At 38.2% G+C, this 22503-nt stretch overlaps 1 protein-coding gene across 19 annotated transcripts in view; it reads left to right on the top strand.

Annotated features, from left to right (window-relative positions):
- The window catches only part of AK9 (adenylate kinase 9), a 198348-nt gene that overhangs the window by 75040 nt on the left and 100805 nt on the right, over positions 1 to 22503 (top strand). For all 19 annotated transcript variants that reach the window (XR_942337.3, XM_047418304.1, NM_001145128.3 and 16 more), the window contains 4 exons: positions 1683 to 1778; positions 1867 to 1980; positions 4070 to 4153; positions 5650 to 5798. Coding sequence is in view for 18 of the 19 variants with exons in the window: in XM_047418304.1 (XP_047274260.1) it covers positions 1683 to 1778; positions 1867 to 1980; positions 4070 to 4153; positions 5650 to 5798 (443 nt within the window). In the remaining variant the exon portion in view is untranslated. The remainder of the gene's footprint in view (positions 1 to 1682; positions 1779 to 1866; positions 1981 to 4069; positions 4154 to 5649; positions 5799 to 22503) is intronic.

Raw genomic sequence — 22503 nt, 5'->3', positions numbered from 1 at the left:
TTTCCAATACTTATATTTATTTCCTTTCTTGACTAATTATGTAGGTAAGCAATTAATGTCAAATAGTGGTTGTGATTTTTTTTTTTCTGGCAGAGACAGGGGTCTCAGTATGATGTCCAGGCTGGTCTCTAACTCCTGGCCTCAAGTGATCCTCCGGCCTTGGCCTCCCAAAGTGCTGCGATTACAGGCATGAGCCGCTGTGCCTAGTTTCATTATTCTTATAACATTTTTTTTACTTTTGTTTGTTTATTTAGGACTTTTCCCCTACATTCTTAGGTGTGACTGGTTTATAGTTGAGCGGGGGAGATGTTCTCTATTTGTCAGAGTTTGCTATCGTTTCTTTTTTAACTTTTTACATAAATTGGGAAGCTTCTCAACATTTTGCATGCTTGAAACTATTTAAATAGCAAGGAAATTACTTCTCTGTGTTGAGTTTTTGCTAGATGAGAACACAGTATTTACCTAATAAATCTGCCTCTCTTCTTTCTCAGCCTATAAACAAATAAAATAATTCAACATGGTGCCCAAGAGATTACAAAAAACAACAAAAAGACCAGCACTGAAATTGCATGCCATCCAAATGGTTATCCAGACAATCTAGAGTGAAGTTATATTTTTAGTATAATACCTTCAAAATTAAAATTAAAATTTTAAAATATCTCAGTCAACTTACAAACTGAAGCTGGAGAAATATTGGCTCAGTCTACTAAAGTGGCTTGTTATTCAACCTATTTAAGGCTGGACAAAATGAATTTATTAATTCATTCAACAAATACTTGAATACCTACTTTGTATTAGACTTTATTCTAGGCACCAGCAATACAGATGAGAACAAGACACATGAAGTCCCTATCCTTGTGGTGCTCACATTTTAATAGAAGGCAGAAGGCAAAAAAAAAAAAAAGCCAAGGGAACAGATGGAAAAAAAATACAACATGGTAATGGGGCAGACAGTGATTGGAGTAGGGATACTGAAGTGTTGGGATGCCCAGGGAAGACCTCTCCAAAGAGGGGACGTTTGACTGAGACCTGGACCAAGGCAGGAAGTTAGCCGGGCTCCTGGAGGAAGAACAGTGATCTGTAATGTTTCTTTCACATTAAATTATAACATTAAATCATAGATTTTACAGCTTTCCACAAATTGCCTTCTCCCACTGGAATATAGCAATAGATGCTATCTCTCATATGCTGCAAACTTAAAAGCCTTTTTATTTTCTTTTCCAAATTCACTAATTATTCTAAATCTGACAATAGGAGTAACTCTACTTAAAATTTTAAATTGGAATTTTTTGCTGTTGAAGTTTGCCTCAATATATTTTTAAGAAAAATTTGTCAGTGGAGAATATTGAGGTTTTTTTAACATAAAAATTACATGATTATACAGAGGATGGCAGCTAACATGGAACAGCCTTCCTGTGTGCCAGCATTTTCCAAGTTAAGTATTTATATTCATTACCTCATTTAATCCTCACAGCAGTGCTTTCAGTTTAAAGATCCTCATTTTGCCTAGAAATTGAGACAAAAAGATCAAGTGATTTACCAAAGTCACACAGCCCTTACAGCTTATAAGTCAGAACTGAAACTCAACTGTGTCTAACTTTGAAGCAGGGGCTTTTGGTCACTCTACCTGTTTTTCTATCCCCAACTACGTTTTGCTAACACCACCCATTGTTATATTTCAGCTGAAACAGCTTTAAGAGAATTTCAAAGGCAATATGAAAAAATGGAGTTTGGAGTATTCCCAATGGAGGCAACACACTCATCAATTGATGAAGAAGGTAAAGAAATATATTGCTGATGTTATTGACCAAATCATCCCTAATATAAATAGATTAGCTGATAAAGTATATTATTCTTTCATTGCAGGGTACATTCAAGGCTCCCAAAGGGACAGAGGCAGCTCTTTAGTGGACACCGAAGAAGCCAAAACAAAGTCAGAAAATGTCCTCCATGATCAAGCTGCTAAAGTTGATAAAGATGGTAACAAAGTGAACTGCTAATCCCACGTTTGTGGATCTCATTTTCATTTATTTCATATTTGATTATGTTTATATTTATGCTTAAAATTACCCCCAAAATTGGAAACTTCAGGAGGAAAAAAGCTAAATATTTCCTTATGGATTTAACCTGAACAACTGTAGAACAGAAGTCAATTTATTAGAATAAAGAAGAAAACATATAAATGGGGAGTCAGATACAATTAGAGCCCAAAGAAAAATGTTTGAATGTTTCCAATGTTATAAAATCATTATCATATCATAAATTCTTTTTAAAAGCTCTCTACTTTAACGTATTGGAATCAGAGCATCTTAAGGCCACAATTTTAGCTGTGAAATTTTATCATTTACCCATTGTGCTATTTATCCTTATAAAATTTTTCTATTCATATTTGAACATAAGAGCATATAGCATTACATTATATAATAATTATATGTAATATATTATAGAATAGCTGTAATATATTATAGAATAGCTATAATATAGACTGTTTTTACATTTTTTTACTTATAATGTACCATTTAATTATATTACTTCATTGGGAAATATTTTAACCCTCATTATAAGTTACTGCACAATTTCTCTAGAATTCCTGGGGATTTCTAGGAACTACTAAATTAATAAATATGAAGCTATAGACAGAGTCAAATTGCTTTGCATAAAATTGTTCCAAATTATGTTTCCCCAGTAATATACAAAATCCATGTCATTGTTTCCTCAGTATTTTCTGTTGTTTTAATTTTTACTTCAGAAATTTATATTCATATTTGTTAACCATTTATATTTCTTCTTTTTTGAGGTGACTATTTTTGTCTTTTGCCCGTTTTTCTAAATGGTTATATCAATTATATAGTCTCTGTATAAACTTTCTATATTAGTCTCTTATTTTTCATATATTTTACAAATTGAGTGGTTTGTCTTCTAAGTCAGCTTGCTGTTTTTGAAGTAAAGGTATTTTTCATATTTTTGCAGTCAAATCATTATTTTCTCTTTGTTGCTTTCTTCCTTCACTTTTAGGCTTAAAAAGTCTTTCTCTCAATCAGGCATTTATATATATATTAAGTGTCTGAGAGGATAGATTATTATTATATCTAAATGTCTGATTGAGAGGATTGATTGATTATATCAAATTCTATAAACGTTCAATTTATAATATATAATATATAATTATATAAATGAGAGGAAGACTTTTTATATATAAATAATTGAAAGGACACATATAAATAATAGCTTTATATACATAAATTTATATGTATTTGTATAAATTTTTATATAAATATATTTGTGTAAGTTTATATATATAAACTTACATTTTGGTTTTTTTATTCAGTTTTAAAGTGCATCTATCATTTATTTTGTTAAATAATGTAGAGCTGATTTTTTGTTTAGTTTCTCCTACTAATTCAGACAGATGTGCTTGCCTGCTGTTTATTTAAAGCCTAGTAAGAATTGAACAGGGCACTGTCAGAAACTCACGTATGGCACTCCTCCTCCCTTAACACACACAGCCTTCACAGAACGACCCCACCCCCTATACATTAAATTTTTGACCATCAGATGGCAGCTGACAGCCTCATCTTTGCTGCTGTGGAGTTCCCAACTCCAATCCACAAAGAAAGCCCTGCCCCAAGACTGTCTGCTCCATCTTTGGGGGAGGCAGTCCAAGTTAGAAGCAGGCAGCAGCACCTCTATCCACTGCTGGAAGGATGCCAATATTGCCAGTATCCATGGGTAAGAAGGCATTCTTCTGCCCTGTGTCTCTGAGGTAAGCACATCATTGACCTCTAGGAGTCAAGAGGGTGTTAGTTGCCTCAGGAAGGGCACTGTTGATTGTTTTTTTCTATTTAGATCCATTGGCATTATAATAAACTGAAATTACTCCTGGTTTTGTTATTATGTTCATTATCTGCTGCTAAATATATTTACCCATTTAAATGTTAGGGTTGTTATTTTAATTAAAAATTGGGAATGTGAGTCCTGGTTCCCTAGGCTTATATTACAATCTTCCTTGGGAATCACCTACATTTTTTTTAATACCGTTCTTTAGGCATTCACAATGTTTTATTCACAGATGGAAAAGAAACTGGTGAAACATTCACATTTAAAAGGCATTCTCAAGATGCTAGTCAAGATGTAAAGTTGTATTCAGATACAGGTAAATTAATATTTGTATAATTTGATTCTTTTAGATTGTGGTTCTAAAAAACACAAGTAGTTCCCTCAGAATTTAGAAGAAGAAATGTGTGATTTTTCAAAAAAAATAAAAGCATGATTAATACCCAAGTACTCTATTTTAATGGCTACTCTATTATGTTGGACATGCAAGAACACTGAAAAACTAATACTTGATATGTTGTTTTGGTGAAAAAGAATGTTGGGAAGACAGGCAATCTATCTTTCTGCTCTGCCAGCCCTGGCACACAGCTACTATAATAGGCCACAAGATGGCTGCTGGAGCTCCAGCCATCACATCAGTGTACCTAGCAGGAACACTGGAAAGGGAAAGGAAAAGGAAAGGAAAGACAAAAACTGGCACTTAGCTGAGTCAGCCAAGTGTGAGGAGCACATGTGCATGCGAGTGCACACACACAAACATGTGCACACACACACACAAACTCTGCTTGCCTCTTGTTGGCTGTCCAAGCTATAAGGGAAGTTGAGAGATATAGTTTTTCAGCAGGGCACACTGCTAGCCTTGACAAAATCAGGGTTGCTGTATGAAGGAAGAGGCGAATGGATATTGGGTGGACAATTAGCGGCTTCTAGCACATTTCGCATCTTTGCCTGGCTGTTTCTGCTTCACTATGCACCCGCTCCCATGGGCACAGTAAGATCATGGGTTCTTGACTTTTCTGCTCTGGCTTTCCAGGAACTGTGAGTCTTTTGATCCCTGAGAACACTTTCAGGCAGGGAGGGCAGCAGGCAACTGCTTTTGAAGACCCTTTGGGATTTTTCTGGGTTGGGATCAGTCTGGCTCCAGCTAGACACCCTGACAGTTGGAGCCCTGAGGCAGAGGCTCAGAAGCTTGACTGCAAATGCAGAATTCAAGGAGTCAGGTGAAACTGCCAAACTCCTATCTCATTAGAGTAGCAGATGAACAAACATTTACATCATGATGCAGCCTGAGAGCCAACTCAGCCATGCAAGGACACACTTCACACCAAAAAGGACAAGAATCAAGTGTAACACTTGAAACACCAGGCTATGCCACCTTTTCTCCATCCCCTCCAACTTGCCTACCTCTTGTCCTCTCACTGTCCCTTGTAGTCTCATGCTAGTAACTGGAAGTATCCATCTTGTTTTTTGACTCATTCCCTGGATGCTTATGCTTTCACTTGATTCCTGGAATCCTCTGGCCCCTACATTTCTTCCCTGGTTTTGACTCCTGCCAGACATGACTTTCTTCTTGCCTCTTTCACTTTCATTCTGCTGTACTGGCTTTAAGTTACTTCTCTGAGAGTTTGCGGTGCTGTGATTCCTGACCTAACATTTCCTCTCCAGAGTCTTATTTCTCCCTCCTTCCAACATGTGCTGCGGTGACATGAAAATAATACTTTCTTGGGTCAGATATTATCAATCATGTTTTATTGCAAGTAGTATTGTCCACTAAAATTATTAATGGCATTAATTTATCAGCTTATTTTACTTTAGCCCCAACAGAAGACTTGATAGAAGAGGTAACTGCAGATCATCCAGAGGTTGTGACCATGATTGAAGAGACTATAAAAATGTCACAGGATATAAACTTTGAACAGCCATATGAAAAACATGCTGAAATCTTACAGGAAGTCCTTGGAGAGGTAAAAAATCTAGCTGGGCAATTCTTATCAGTGACTTAACTATTACTGAGAAAATGTTAATCTAATATGTGTGTAATTATTTTAGAGTCTTATGATGTTGAAATTTGTAGCCTTCAAATTCATGTACATTTTGTAGTCAGCATTGTTAAGTGCGAAGTACCCCAGTGAACAACTACTGATGCTCTTTGGTAAATTTTCAATTACAAACAAAATTATGTAATATAACTTTATGCTTTGAAATTAATTCTTCATTAAATTTTATTGTCTTTGATTCAGTTCAGTTAGTTAAAAGATGATGCATATTGGTACTAGGTACCAAAGTTATATGTTTCATCTATGAACTAATTAGTTATAAGCCAAGACAAATTTTGACCCCTGGTTAATTAATTTCATCCAACCAACTTGAACATGTGTTCATAGGGGAGATGAGAGGACACACATGTGCTGTTCCAGTCTAAAGGGAAAAAAAAATCCTCAAATGCTATCTATCAATGGCAGATCAGAAGGCCTACTGTTTGTTTATAAAGAACAGGATATTCATATGGGTCTGTTTTGTACAAAGATCTTAAGTAAACATTCAGAGCAAAAGTCAAATGCAGAACTAATCTTTTAGGCCCTCGATGAACTTCTGTATATCTCTGTGATTTAACTTAAAATTACTATGTGAAAAAAATATGTAGGATGTTAGAGTATGGAACCTCTTTGTAACACATTGGGTGGTTTCCTCAAGTCCCCAGCTCTACCAGCCTCTCTGACTCTCGGGTTCTCATGGCTCCCTTTGGGCTTCCCATACAGACTTTTCAAAGTTTTCTGCATACCTATCTTCAGGTTGTTCTATCATCCGTTTAGTCCTTCAGAAATATTATGAGTACCTACTATCTGCCCTATACCATGTTAGATACCAGGAATCTGAAGATGAATTAAACACAGCCCTTTCCTTTAAGGAGCTATCCGTCAGGTGGGGAAGACGGAACTGACATGTAAACCAATAACTGAGTTATCATGTGCTAGTGGCAGATAGATGTGTATGAGGTGTAGGAATTCCATGAAGGTCAGAGCCATCATCTCTGCCTGGGAGGTAAGAGAAATCATCCCAGAGGAGATCTGCAAGTGAGGGACATGTTTGGGTCTGTGGAATTTCCATATTTGCCCTTGAGTGAAATTTTTCTCCATTCTCTTCAGAGTTTATTCTGGAGCATATAAATCTACAAGGAATCCTACACTTCTGATATAGGAATATATATAGTATTAGATGGTAAACTGTAGCTCTGGGACTGTAGTTTAAATCGTATGAGATTTTAACACCAAAGCTCATATCAGGTTGTCATTTCTCAAAAGACCAGAGACCTGTGCAGGAGACAGTTTTACCTGTCATCAGTTCTGTGATCTTTATGATTAGAAGAACTATTTTTCATAAACAGCTAGAGATATGCTCCTTTGAGATGGGCCTGTACAAGTCATATGCCCATGTTGTTTTGGGGTTTGGGGGGTTTTGTTTTTATTTTTTAAATTGGATTGTTTCTTTTTTGATTCATGTGTTGTTTATGTATTCTGAGTATGAGCTCTTTGTTGAATATTTTGCAATTATCTTTACAAATATCTTGTCTTGAATAATAGGAGTTAATTTTAATGAAATCAAATTTATTAATTTTTCCTTTCATAGTAGTTAGTGCTTTTCATGTTCCGTTTCAGAAATATTTGCCTACCCAAAATCAGGAAGATATTCTCCTAGGTTTTCTTCTGGAAACCTAGCTTTATCTTTCATATTTGGATCTAAGGTCCATTTGAAACTAATTTTTGTGTATCAAAAACAATATTCAAATGGCCAATATACATATAAAAAGGTACTTAACATCACTAATCATTGACCACAATGTGGTCAAGTTTTATTTTTTTTTCAAGATAGATAGCTAGTTGCTCTAACACCACTTATTGAAAAGGCCATCCTTTCTCCACTATCATATATCAAGTGGCCATATATGTGTAGTCCCTTTATAGACTCTTCGTTCTGTTCCATTAGTCTGTTTGTTTGTCTGTGCCAGAGCCACATGTCTTAACGACTGTAGTTTTTTTTTTTTTTTTTTTTGAGCCAGAGTCTCGCTCTGTCACCCAGGCTGGAGTGCAGTGGTGCGATCTCAGCTCACTGCAACCTCCACCTCATGGGTTCAAGCAATTCTCTTGCCTCAGACTCCTGAGTACGTGGGACTGCAGGTGTATGCCACCATGCCTGGCTAATTTTTTGTATTTTTTTAGTAAAGACGGAATTTCACCATGTTGGCCAATGTGGCCTAGAACTCCTGACCTCAAGTGATCTATCTGCCTTGGCCTCCCAAAGTGCTGGGATTACGGGCGTGATCCACCATGCCTGGCCCTGCTGTAGCTTTATAATAAATCATGACATCTGAGAGGGTGAATCCTTCAGCACCCTATTTCTCCTGTCATTGCGTCCTTCTCTGTATCATATGTTATGTTTTCTTCTGCTTACTTCTTTAAGATTATCTTAGCTATTATAGGTCCTTTTTACTTCCACATAAATTTTAGAATGAGCTACTCAATTTTCACACACACACACACACACACACACACACACACACACCCCTCTGCTGGGATTTTGATCGGGTTGCATTGTATCTATTAGATAAATTTGGTTAAGACTATCATCTTTACAATATTGAGTCTTATAATCCATGAACATAAAATATTTGTACAGCCATCCCTCAGTACCCTCAGTGGATATCCTCAGTGGATTATTTCCATGACCCTCACAGATACCAGAATCCATGAATGTTCAAGTTCCTTGTATAAAATGGCATGACATTTGCATATAACCTATGCACATCCTTCCATATACTTTAAATCATTTTTAGATTACTTATAATGCCTAATACAATGTAAATGGTATGTAAATAGTTGTTTACACTATATTGTTTAGGGAATAATGACAAGAAAAACAAGTCTGCACATGTTTAGTACAGACATGACCATCCTTTTTTTTTCCAAATATTTTATATCCATGGTTGGTTGAATGCACAGATGCAGAGCCCATGGATACAGAAGACTGACTATAATTAATTTAGGTCTTCTTTAATTTTTCCCAGCATTGTTCTGTAATTTTCAAGGTAAAGGTCTTCAACGTCTCTCATTAGGTTTATTTTTTATTTTTAGGTATTTGATGTATTTTGATGCTTCTATAAATGATATTAGGGTTTTATTTTATTTTCTAATTGTTGCTGCAACCATTTTTTATCCCATTTTAAAAACTGTGCCTCCCATTAAATTGCTTTTTGTCTGAAGCTCACAGCCCATGTATAGAATAGATATGATTGATGCACTTGGACCTAATGTATGATCCAGTCCAGGGAAAGAAAATAGGTTATATTTTACTTGCAAATGGATCAGTTAAGCATTTTTTAAATAATTTTTTAGAATTATAGTTTAACAGTATTTTAAAGCCTTAAAAATATAGAAATAATGATAGATATTGTTTCTACCAAAGGAAGAGAAGAGTCACTCCCTTGCCATGGAGAATGCACAGAAATTATTTTGTTCATACCAAACCATTCGCACTTCTCCCTGTTCTCTGCCTTGACCGGCTACGGAGCACCCAAGGGAAGCAGAGGCAGAGGGACATGGGACCTTACTCTACAGCAGCTGTGTCTTCTGCTTCTGCTCTGAGCAGTTTTGTTGAGTGAAGCTGTTACACTGGCTATATGAAAGGTACTTGCCCAGTACCTAACAGAAAAACAGTAGCAACCTCTAGGGAGATGGGCCTTTTGTGTCAAACCTGCCACTCTGTGTTTTGCAGTGGAAGCTCATGACCTGTTATCCAACTGCACATCTAACCACAGCCTGTTCTTTTATCTCTGCACCCTTCTGTGTCATTAACATGATTTGCTCTGCTTCTCTGTCTACATGGTTTCCCTCTAACATCTGTACCTATCTGTTCTTGTTCATTTCTGTGTACTTCGCACCATGTACTTGGCACTGTCGTTATGTCTTTCTGTGCCTCCTACATCTCTCTGGGTCATGTCCTATTTCCTCTGCTTCCCCCAGTCTCGGTCTCCTATCTATCTATCTATCTATCTATCTATCTATCTATCTATCTATCTATTCACAAGTGATAAAATATAAAGTAAACATAAAATAGTATAGAGTAAGGGAATCCAGAAATAGTATGTTTAAATGCAGAAAAAGTAAATATTTTAAGTTTAAATCACAGGAGGATAGAAGAATGAGTAATGTATAAAAATGTTATACCATTTTTGTCAAAAGGAAGTGCCACTTTAATTTTATTTGATCAAACTCTTGAGAGTTTGATTTCCATGATTCTCTCTGGTGATACTAGACTGGACATAGACCACATGTAAAGGCTTCTCAGGGGCCCTTGTCCTCACCACTCTCCCAACAGGCACAGTCCCCAGCCTCAGAGCCTTCTCACCCCTCTGCCTGGCCACATACTCTGGAATTCTTTGGAATATGAAATCCTGGGGAAGGTTTTCACCTTCTCCCCACAGTTATCCCAACTAAGGAATCACCTCAGTATATTCCCAAAATAAAGCTGTGTGGCCGATTCATCCAAAACTTGCATCCTCAGGTACCCAAGTCCTCATCCCTCAAACCTTTCCTCACCTCAGCTTTGAATGTTCCTGAACTTGAGCAACTTGGGCTACTTCAACAACAGTAGCACCTCTCCTTTCAAGCCACCTCTTTTCCTGAAGGCATGGGAGATGCCCATCATGTTTCATTTCTCTCTTTCTTACTCCAAAATTGCTCAGTATTTGCTCTTTATCCATTTGCATCAGAATCATGTGGGATAAATTGAAATCAGAAAGACATCTAATGCATTCAGCTCTGCCACACAAACTTCTCCAAAAAAGGAGCCTGGAGATCCTGGCTCCCTTCTCAGAGTGGGGATGAAAAAAAAATAGCAAGAAAAAACTCAAATGAATATCTCAATAAATTATCTTGTCACATTAAGGATAGCAGAATACCTTATTAACATGACAAATGAGTTTGGCTTCAGGCTGCAGACCACATAACCTTAAAGTCAGAAATAAGACAATGATATTCCTATCACACTCATTTATTTTTTTAGGATATGGGGCCTTGCTATGTTGCCCAGACTGTTCTCAAACTCCTGGGCTCAAGTGATCCTCCCACCTCAGCCTCTCAAGAAGCTGGGACTACTTGCCACCATGCCCAACTGCTGTCACACCCATTCTTAATGATTTATAGAAATTTTAGCTTTATACAATGCCTTGAAACATAATAACAGGAATAATTATTAGAATAGAGGAGAAACATAATCATTATTTCAGTTGATACTATTTACTTTTAAAATATCCAAGAAAATAATCTAAAAAACAATGGAGCTAATAATTTCATTTAGAAATAAGGTAGCCAAAAGAATTTTAACAATCCACATGTGACAAGAACATAAATGTAATGTAACTAAGTTTGAAATAAAGATGAAGGATCCACATGAATAAAATTATTAAACTTTTAATGTGAACAAAAGCATATATCAATAAATAGAGACATAAATTCTTAAATGTAAAGATAAAATCTTATTAAGGTATCTTTCTCAATTTATAGATTTGATACAGTTCTAATAAAAATATCAAATTTTTTAAAACTGACAGCATCACTCTAAAGTTTCTCTGGAAGAACCAATAATTGAGACTAGAACAGTTCAACAAAGAAGTATGATAGAGGGAGACTTACTCTACTAACTAGTAAAATATGTTGTAATGCTAAAATGGTATATAGGCCTGATAAACATGCCAGAAGCAACAGAACTACAAAGAGGGTACAGAAACAAACTTCAGTATGGATAAAAATTTAGTATATGCCAAAGGTTACATCACAATCCAAAAGGAAAGAATTATTTAATGGTGTTGATAAGATTAACTGTTGGGAAGAAACTATTTAGATTCTCACTTTCTATCAAAATAAAAATAAATTCCATATATATTAAATAGTTAAACGTAAAAATGATATTTTATTTAAACTAGTAGAAAGTGTATTAACATTGAAATAATTTGGAATGGTCAAGGATTCCAGACACAAATGCAATGGAAGAACTTGTAAGGGAAAATCTCAATAGACTACTTAATAATGACCAACTCTCTATAAAAAAATTTACACGGCGGTTCCAAGATGGCCAAATAGGAACAGCTCCAGTCTACAGCTCCCAGCGTGAATGACGCAGAGGATGGGTGATTTCCGCATTTCCAACTGAGGTACTGGGTTCATCTCACTGGGGCTTGTCGGACAGTGGGTGCAGGATAGTGGGGGCAGTGCACCGAGCATGAGCTGAAGCACGGTGAAGCATCACCTCACCTGGGAAGCAAAAGGGGTCAGGGAATTCCCTTTCCTAGCCAAGCAAAGCTGTGACAGAAGGCACCTGGAAAATCGGGTCACTCCAACCCTAATACTGCGCTTTTCCAATGGTCTTAGCAAATGGCACACCAGGAAATTATATCCTGCGCCTGGCTCGGAGGGTCCCACGCCCAGAGAGCCTCACTCATTGCTAGCACAGCAGTCTGAGATCGAACTGCAATGTGCCAGTGAGTCTGGGGGAGGGGCGCCTGCCATCGCTGAGGCTTGAGTAGGTAAACAAAGCAACCAGGAAGCTCGAACTGGGTGGATCCCACCACAGCTCAAGGAGGCCTGCCTGCCTCTGTAGACTCCACCTCTGGGGGCAGGGCATAGCCAAACAAAAGGCAGCAGAAACCTCTGCAGACTTAAATGTCCCTGTCTGACAGCTTTGAAGAGAGTAGTGGTTCTCCCAGCACAGAGTTTCAGATCTCAGAACGGACAGACTGCCTCCTCAAGTGGGTCCCTGACCCCCAAGTAGCCTAACTGGGAGGCACCCCCCAGTAGGGGCAGACTGACACCTCACACGGCCAGGTACCCCTCTGAGACGAAGCTTCCAGAGGAACAATCAGGCAGCAACATTTCCCGTTCAGCAATATTCGCTGTACTGCAGCCTCCGCTGCTGATACCTAGGCAAACAGGGTCTGGAGTGGACCTCCAGCAATCTCCAACAGACCTGCAGCTGAGGATCCTGACTGTTAGAAGGAAAACTAACAAACAGAAAGGACACCCACACCAAAACCTCATCTGTACGTCACCATCATCAAAGACCAAAGGTAGATAAAACCACAAAGATGGGGAAAAAACAGAGCAGAAAAACTGAAAATTCTAAAAATCAGAGTGCCTCTCCCCCTCCAAAGGGATGCAGCTCCTTGCCAGCAACGGAACAAAGCTGGACAGAGAATGACCTTGACGAGCGGAGAGAAGAAGGCTTCAGACAATCAAACTTCTCTGAGCTAAAGGAGGAAGTTCGAACCCATCGCAAAGAAGCTAAAAACCTTGAAAAAAGATTAGACGAATGGCTAACTAGAATAACCAATGCAGAGAAGTCCTTAGAGGACCTGATGGAGCTGAAAACCATGGCACGAGAACTACGTGACGAATACACAAGCTTCAGTAGCCAATTCGATCAACTGGAAGAAAGGGTATCAGTGATTAAAGATCAAATGAATGAAATGAAGTGAGAAGAGAAGTTTAGAGAAAAAAGAATAAAAAGAAATGAACAAAGCCTCCAAGAAATATGGGACTATGTGAAAAGACCAAATCTACGTCTGATTGGTGTACCTGAAAGTGACAGGGAGAATGGAACCAAGTTGGAAAACACTGCAGGATATTATCCAGGAGAATTTCTCCAACCTAGCAAGGCAGGCCAACATTCAAATTCAGGAAATACAGAGAACGCCACAAAGATACTCCTCGAGAAGAGCAACTCCAAGACACATAATTGTCAGATTCACCAAAGTTGAAATGAAGGAAAAAATGTTAAGGGCAGCCAGAGAGAAAGGTCGGGTTACCCACAAAGAGAAGCCCACCAGACTAACAGCGGATCTCTCGGCAGAAACTCTACAAGCCAGAAGAGAGTGGGGGCCAATATTCAACATTCTTAAAGAAAAGAATTTTCAACCCAGAATTTCATATCCAGCCAAACTAAGCTTCATAACAGAAGGAGAAATAAAATCCTTTATAGACAAGCAAATGCTGAGAGATTTTGTCACCACCAGGCCTGCCCTACAAGAGCTCCTGAAGGAAGCACTAAACATGGAAAGGAACAACCAGTACCAGCCACTGCAAAAACATGCCAAATTGTAAAGACCACTGATGCTAGGAAGAAACTATCAACTAATGAGCAAAATAACCAGCTAATATCATAATGACAGGATCAAATTCACACATAACAATATTAACCTTAAATGTAAATGGGCTAAATGCTCCAATTAAAAGACACAGACTGGCAAATTGGATAAAGAGTCAAGACCCATCAGTGTGCTGTATTCAGGAGACCCATCTCACGTGCAGACACACACATAAGCTTAAAATAAAGGGATGGAGGAAGATCTACAAAGCAATTGGAAAGCAAAAAAAGGCAGGGGTTGCAATCCTAGTCTCTGATAAAATAGATTTGAAACCAACAAAGATCAAAAGAGACAAGGTCATTGCATAATGGTAAAGGGATCAATTCAACAAGAAGAGCTAACTATCCTAAACATATATGCACCCAATACAGGAGCACCCAGATTCATAAAGCAAGTCCTTAGAGACCTACAAAGAGACTTAGACTCCCACACAATAATAATGAGAGACTTTAACACCCCACTATCAACATTAGACAGATCAACGAGACAGAAAGTTAACAAGAATATCCAGGAATTGAACTCAGCTCTACACCAAGTGGACCTAATAGACATCTACAGAACTCTCCACCCCAAATCAACAGAATATACAATCTTCTCAGCACTACACCACACTTATTCCAAAATTGACCACATAGTTGGAAGTAGTAAAGCACTCCTCAACAAATGTAAAAGAACAGAAATATAACAAACTGTCTCTCAGACCACAGTGCAATCAAACTAGAACTCAGGACTAAGAAACTCACTCAAAACTGCTCAACTACATCGAAACTCAACAACCTGCTCCTGAATGACTACTGGGTACATAACGAAATGAAAGCAGAAATAAAGATGTTCTTTGAAACCAACAAGAACAAAGACACAACATACCAGAATCTCTGGGATACATTTAAAGCAGTGTGTAGAGGGAAATTTATAGCACTAAATGCCCACAAGAGAAAGCAGGCAAGATCTAAAATTGACACCCTAACATCACATTTAAAAGAACTAGAGAAACAAGAGCAAACAAATTCAAAAGCTAGCAGAAGGCAAGAAATAACAAAGATCAGAGCAGAACTGACGGAGATAGAGACACAAAAAACCCTTCAAAAAATCAGTGAATCCAGGAGCTGGTTTTTTGAAAAGATCAACAAAATTGATAGACTGCTAGCAAGACTAATAAAGAAGAAAAGAGAGAAGCATCAAATAGACAATAAAAAATGATAAAGGGGATATCACCACTGATCCCACGGAAATACAAAGCACCATCAGAGAATACTATAAACACCTCCACGCAAATAAACTAGAAAATTTAGAAGAAATGGATAAATTCATGGACACATACACCCTCCCAAGACTAAACCAGGAAGAAGTTGAATCTCTGAATAGACCAATAACAGGCTCTGAAATTGAGGCAATAATTAATAGCTTACCAACTAAAAAAAGTCCAGGACCAGACAGATTCACAGCCGAATTCTACCAGAGGTACAAGGAGGAGCTGGTACCATTCCTTCTGAAACTAATCCAAACAATAGAAAAAGAGGGAATCCTCCCTAAGTCATTTTATGAGGCCAGCATCATCCTGATACCAAAGCCTGGCAGAGACACAACAAAAAAAGAGAATTGTAGACCAATATCCCTGATGAACATCGATGCAAAAATCCTCAATAAAATACTGGTAAACCAAATCCAACAGCGCATGAAAAAGCTTATCCACCATGATCAAGTGGGCTTCATCCCTGGGATGCAAGGCTGGTTCAATATACGCAAATCAATAAGCATGATCCAGCATATAAACAGAACCAAAGACAAAAACCACATGATTATCTCAATAGATGCGGAAAAGGCCTTCAAGAAAATTCAACAGCCCTTCATGCTAAAAACTCTCAATAAATTAGGTATTGATGGGACGTATCTCAAAATAATAAGAGCTATTTATGACAAACCCACAGCCAATATCATACTGAATGGGCAAAAACTGGAAGCATTCCCTTTGAAAACTGGCACAAGACAGGGATGCCCTCTCTCACCACTCCTATTCAACATAGTGTTGGAAGTTCTGGCCAAGGCAATCAGGCAGGAGAAAGAAATAAAGGGTATTCAATTAGGAAAAGAGGAAATCAAATTGTCCCTGTTTGTGGATGACATGATTGTATATCTAGAAAACCCCATCGTCTCAGCCCAAAATCTCCTTAAGCTGATAAACAACTTCAGCAAAGTCTCCAGTATACAAAATCAATGTGCAAAAAATCGCAAGCATTCTTATACACCAATAACAGACAAACAGAGAGCCAAATCATGAGTGAACTCCCATTCACAATTGCTTCAAAGAGAATAAAATACCTAGGAATCCAACTTACAAGGTATGTGAAGGACCTCTTCAAGGAGAACTACAAACCACTGCTCAAGGAAATAAAAGGGGATACAAACAAATGGAAGAACATTCCATGCTCATGGATAGGAAGAATCAATATCGTGAAAATGGCCATACTGCCCAAGGTAATTTATAGATTCAATGCCATCCCCATCAAGCTACCAATGACTTTCTTCACAGAATTGGAAAAAACTACTTTAAAGTTCATATGGAACCAAAAAAGAGCCTGCATTGCCAAGTCAATCCTAAGCCAAAGGAGCAAAGCTGGAGGCAGCATGCTACCTGACTTCAAACTATACTACAAGGCTACAGTAACCAAAACAGCATGGTGCTGGTACCCAAACAGATACATAGACCAATGGAACAGAACAGAGCCCTCAGAAATAATACCACACATCTACAACTATCTGATCTTTGACAAACCTGACAAAAACAAGAAATGGGGAAAGGATTCCCTATTCAACAAATGGTGCTGGGAAAACTGGCTAGCCATACGTAGAAAGCTGAAACTGGATCCCTTCCTTACACCTTATACAAAAATTAATTCAAGATGGATTAAAGACTTAAATGTTAGACCTAAAACCATAAAAACCCTAGAAGAAAACCTAGGCAATACCATTCAGGGCATAGGAATAGGCAAGGACTTCATGTCTAAAACACCAAAAGCAATGGCAACAAAAGCCAAAATTGACTAATGGAATCTAATTAAACTAAAGAGCTTCTGCCCAGCAAAAGAAACTACCATCAGAGTGAACAGGCAACCTACAGAATGGGAGAAAATTTTTGCAATCTACCCATCTGACAAAGGGCTAATATCCAGAATCTACAAAGAACTCAAACAAATTTACAAGAAAAAAACAAACAACCCCATCAACAAGTGGGCAAAGGATATGAACAGACACTTCTCAAACGAAGACATTTCTGCAGCCAACAGACACATGAAAAACTGCTCATCATCACTGGCCATCAGAGAAATGCAAATCAAAACCACAATGAGATACCATCTCACACCAGTTAGAATGGCGATCATTAAAAAGTCAGGAAACAACAGGTGCTGGAGAGGATGTGGAGAAATAGGAATGCTTTTACACTGTTGGTGGGACTGTAAACTAGTTCAACCATTGTGGAAGACAGTGTGGCGATTCCTCAGGGATCTAGAACTAGAAATACCATTTGACCCAGCCATCCCATTACTGGGTGTATACCCAGAGGATTATAAATCATGCTGCTATAAAGACACATGCACACGTAGATTTATTGCGGCACTATTCACAATAGCAAAGACTTAGAACCAACCCAAATGTCCAACAATGATAGACTGGATTAAGAAAATGTGGCACATATACACCATGGAATACTATGCAGCCATAAAAAATGATGAGTTCGTGTCCTTTATAGGGACATGGATGAAGCTGGAAACCATCATTCTTAGCAAACTATTGCAAGGACAAAAAACCAAACACCGCATGTTCTCACTCATAGGTGGGAATTGAACAATGAGAACACATGGACACAGGAAGGGGAACATCACACACCGGGGACTGTTGTGGGGTGGGGGGAGGGGGGAGGGATAGCATTAGGAGATATACCTAATGTAAATGACGAGTTAATGGGTGCAGCACACCAGCATGGCACGTGTGTACATATGTAACAAACCTGCAGGTTGTGCACATGTACCCTAGAACTTAAAGTATAATTTAAAATATATATATAAATTACACAAATCAAAAATTTAAGACAAAGGACAAGCTGGGGAAAGTATTTATAATAAATATAACATTAATTTCTTAGAAAGCTGTAGAGAATCTAATATGTGATCAAAAAGCAAGCAAGGGATGTGAGCAGATTTTATCAAAGAAGAAATACAAATGGTTCATTGAAAATGTTTAGGCACTGGGTTTCTCAAGTTGCCCACTTGGCCCTCTTCCAAGTTGTACTTTCCTTTTTTTCTTTCCTTTCCTTTCTTTCCTTACCCTTCTAAAGCTTTTTAATAAACTTCCACTTCTGCCCTGAAACTTGCCTCTGTCTCTTCTTCTGCCTTATGCCCCCCAGTTGAATTATTTCTTCGAAGCAGGCAAGAATTGAGGTTGCAATAAAAAAAAATTTTTTTTGAGACGGTGTCTCTCTCTGTCCCCCAGGCTGGAATGCAGTGGCGCCATCTCGGCTCACTGCAAGCTCCGCCTCCCAGGTTCACACCATTCTCCTGCCTTAGCCTCCCGAGTAGCTGGGGCTACAGGCGCCCGCCACCACACCTGGCTAATTTTTTTGTATTTTTAGTAGAGATGGGGTTTCACCATGTTAGCCAGGATGGTCTCGATCTCCTGACCTCGTGATCTGCCCGCCTCGGCCTCCCAAAGTGCTGGGATTACAGGCATGAGCCACCGCGCCCGGCAAAAAAAAATTTTTAAAGAAAATTTTTAACGTTTGTTTCAATAAAAATTAAAACAATGAGATACAATTTCTCATCTAATTGGCAAAGTTTTTGACAATTGGTAATAGTGAGGCTGTACTGATAGAGTCACTTTCAAACACTGTTAGGAAGTATGAAAATTGATACAGATGCTTTTGGCAGCAATGTGGCAATGTGTATGAAAAGACTTTAAAATGTTTACTCTTTCATTCCCTTTGACCTGAAGTCATGTGAGGAATCTAATCTGAAGAAATATATAATATTTGGACAAAGATTTACAGATGTTGTAAAAAAAAACACAATGTTAGTAAAATAAAGATTTTCTATATAGATTTTCTTCACAGTGTTATAATAAAATTACAAATGACATAAATATTTAACAGTAAGGGGTGATTAAACAAATTAAGGTTTATTTGTTTGATAAAATACTATAAAGCCATTAAATTTTATTTCAAAAAAAGGTTGAATGAAGAACTAAAAATAGAACTACAGTACGATCCAGCAATCCCACTACTGGGTATCTACCCAAAGGAAAAGAAATCACTATATCAAAAAGATACCTGCACTCATATATTTATCGCAGCTCTATTAATAGCAATGATATGGAATCAACCTAAGTGTCCATCCATGGAGGACTGGATAAAGAAGATGTGGTATAAAACCCAGTCACTTTGTTTAGAAGCCTTAGCCACCCCTCCCTTCCTGTTCACAGATTTCATTGCAGTGGCACTCTCTTCACTTCATGCCTGTCATATTTCTAGGCATTAGGCACACCTGCTAGCCTGAATTAGGAGCCTGAGCTACCCCTCCCTTCAGGTGCAAACATCTTGGTGCAGCAGCATCCTTTCCACTCCATGCCAGGACACATCTCCAGGCATTTGGAGCATCCACTCTTCTAGGTCCTCCAAATGAGGAGCTTAGGCTGCCCTAGGATGAGGATGAGGAGTTTGGGCTGCCCCTCTTTTCCCAGGCAGAGAACTTGGGGCAGCAGATTTCTCCACTCCATGACCTGGCACATCTGTGGGTACTTGGTAACTATGCCCAGATCCCCTCTTGGAGCTGGTGCTGGTGCCTGCCATTGGAAGACATGTAGGTGGGTCAGCCCAGTTAGGCTTCACTCAGCTTGGTCTCTTCTCCAGGGCTGAGCAGGAAACTGAGACCACTCTGCCTTCCACCTGACAGCCCATTGCCTAAGGCAACAGAGAGCTTCCCACGATAAAGATCAAGCAAAGCATATACCCATCTGCATTGGCTGCAGCTAGCTCTTATCTGCAAGTGCCACCTGTTGGCTCAGAGGTTGAACTGCAATACCCAATAGAAATAGATTTTTTTCGTTTTTATTTTATTTATTTATTTATTTTTCTTTTTTTTAAATTATACTTTAAGTTCTGGGATATATGTGCAGAATGTGCAGGTTTGTTACATAGGTATACACGTGCCATGGTGGTTTGCTGCACCCATCAACCCATCATCTACATTAGGTATTTCTCCTAATGCTATCCTTCCCGTAGTCCCCTACCCAATGACAGGCCCTGGTGTGTGATGTTCCCCTCCCTGTGTCCATGTGTTCTCATAGTTCAACTCCCACTTATGAGTGAGAACATGCAGTGTTTGGTTTTCTGTTCCTGTGTTAGTTTGCTGAGAATGATGGTTTCCAGCTTCATCCATGTCACTGCAAAGGACATGAACTCATCCTTTTTTATGGCTGCATAGTATTCCATGGTGTATATATGCCACATTTTCTTTATCCAGTCTATCATCGATGGGCATTTGGGTTGGATCCAAGTCTTGGGTATTGTGAATATTGCCACAATAAACATACATGTGCATATGTCTTTATAGTAAAATGATTAATAATCCTTTGGGTATATACCCAGTAATGGGATTGCTGGGTCAAATGGTATTTCTGGTTCTAGATCCTTGAGGAATCACCACACTGTCTTCCACAATGGTTGAACTAATTTACACTCCCACCAACAGTGTAAAAGTGTTCCTACTTCTCCATGTCCTCTCCAGCATCTGTTGTTTCCTGACTTTAATCACCATTCTAACTGGCGTGAGATGGTATCTTATTGTGGTTTTGATTTGCATTTCTCTAATGACCAGTAATGACAAGCTTTTTTTCGTATGTTTGTTGGCCGCATAAATGTCTTCTTTTGAGAAGTGTCTGTTCATATCCTTTGCCCACTTTTTGATGGGGTTGTTTTTGTCTTATAAATCTGTTTAAGTTTCTTGTAGATTCTGGATATTAGCCCTTTGTCAGATGCATAGATTGCAAAAATTTTCTCCCATTCTGTAGGTTGCCTGTTAACTCTGATGATGGTTTCTTTTGCTGTGCAGAAGCTCTTTAATTTAATTAGATCCCATTTGTCAATTTTGGCTTTTGTTGCAATTGCTTTTGGTGTTTTAGTCATGAAGTCTTTGTGCATGCCTATGTCCTGAATGGTATTGCTTAGGTTTTCTTCTAGAATTTTTATGGTTTTAGATCTCATGTTTAAGTCTTTAATTCATCTTGAGTTAATTTTGTATAAGGTGTAAGGAAGGGGTCCAGTTTCAGTTTTCTGCATATGGCTCACCAGTTTTCCCAACAGCGTTTATTAAACAGGGAATCCTTTCCCCATTGCTTGTTTTTGTCAGTTTGTCAAAGATCAGTTGGTTGTAGATGTGTGGTGTTATTTCTGAGGCCTCTGTTTTCTTCCATTGGTCTATATATCTGTTTTGGTACCAGTACCATTTTGTTTTGGCTGCTGTAGTCTTGTAGTATAGTTTGAAGTCAGGAAGTATGAAGCCTCCAGCTTTGTTCTTATTGCTTAGGATTGTCTTGGCTATATGAGCTCTTTTTTGGTTCCATGTGTAATTTGATAGTTTTTTCTGATTCTGTGAAGAAAGTCAATGGTAGCTTGATGAGGATAGCATTGAATCTATAAATTACTTTGGGCAGTATGGCCATTTTCATGATATTGATTCTTCCTATCCATGAGCATGGAATGTTTTTCCATTTGTGTCCTCTCTTATTTCCTTGAACAGTGCTTTGTAGTTCTCCTTGAAGAGGTCCTTCACATCCCTTGTAAGTTGTATTCTTAGGTATTTTATTCTTTTTGTAGCAATTGTGAATGAGAGTTCACTCATGATTTGGCTCTCTGTTTGTCTATTATTGGTGTATAGGAATGCTTTCGATTTTTGCACACTGATTTTGTATACTGAGACTTTGCTGAAGTTGCTTATCAGCTTAAGGAGATTTTGGGCTGAGACGATGGGGGTCTTCTAAATATACAATCATGTCGTCTGCAAAGAGATAAATTTTGGCTTCCTCTCTTCCTATTTGAATACCATTTATTTCTTTCTCTTGCCTGATTTTCCTGGCCAGAACTTCTAATACTATGTTGAATAGGAGTGGTGAGAGAGGGCATCCTTGTCTTGTGCTGGTTTTCAGAGGGAATGCTTCCAGCTTTTGCCCATTTGGTATGATATTGGCTGTGGGTTTGACATAAATAGCTCTTATTATTTTGAGATATGTTCCATCAATACCTAGTTTATTGAGAGTTTTTAGCATGACGGGGTGTTGAATTTTGTTGAAGGCCTTTTCTGCATCTATTAAGATAATCATGTGGTTTTTGTCATTGGTTCTGTTTATGTGATGGATTACGTTTATTGATTTGTGTTTGTTGAACCAGCCTTGCATCCCAGGGATGAAGCTGACTTGATCGTGGTGGA

Source organism: Homo sapiens, chromosome 6 (genome assembly GCF_000001405.40).
Source record: "Homo sapiens chromosome 6, GRCh38.p14 Primary Assembly".
Classification (NCBI taxonomy): Eukaryota; Metazoa; Chordata; class Mammalia; order Primates; family Hominidae; genus Homo; species Homo sapiens.
This window is presented reverse-complemented; position numbering and strand designations above follow the sequence as displayed.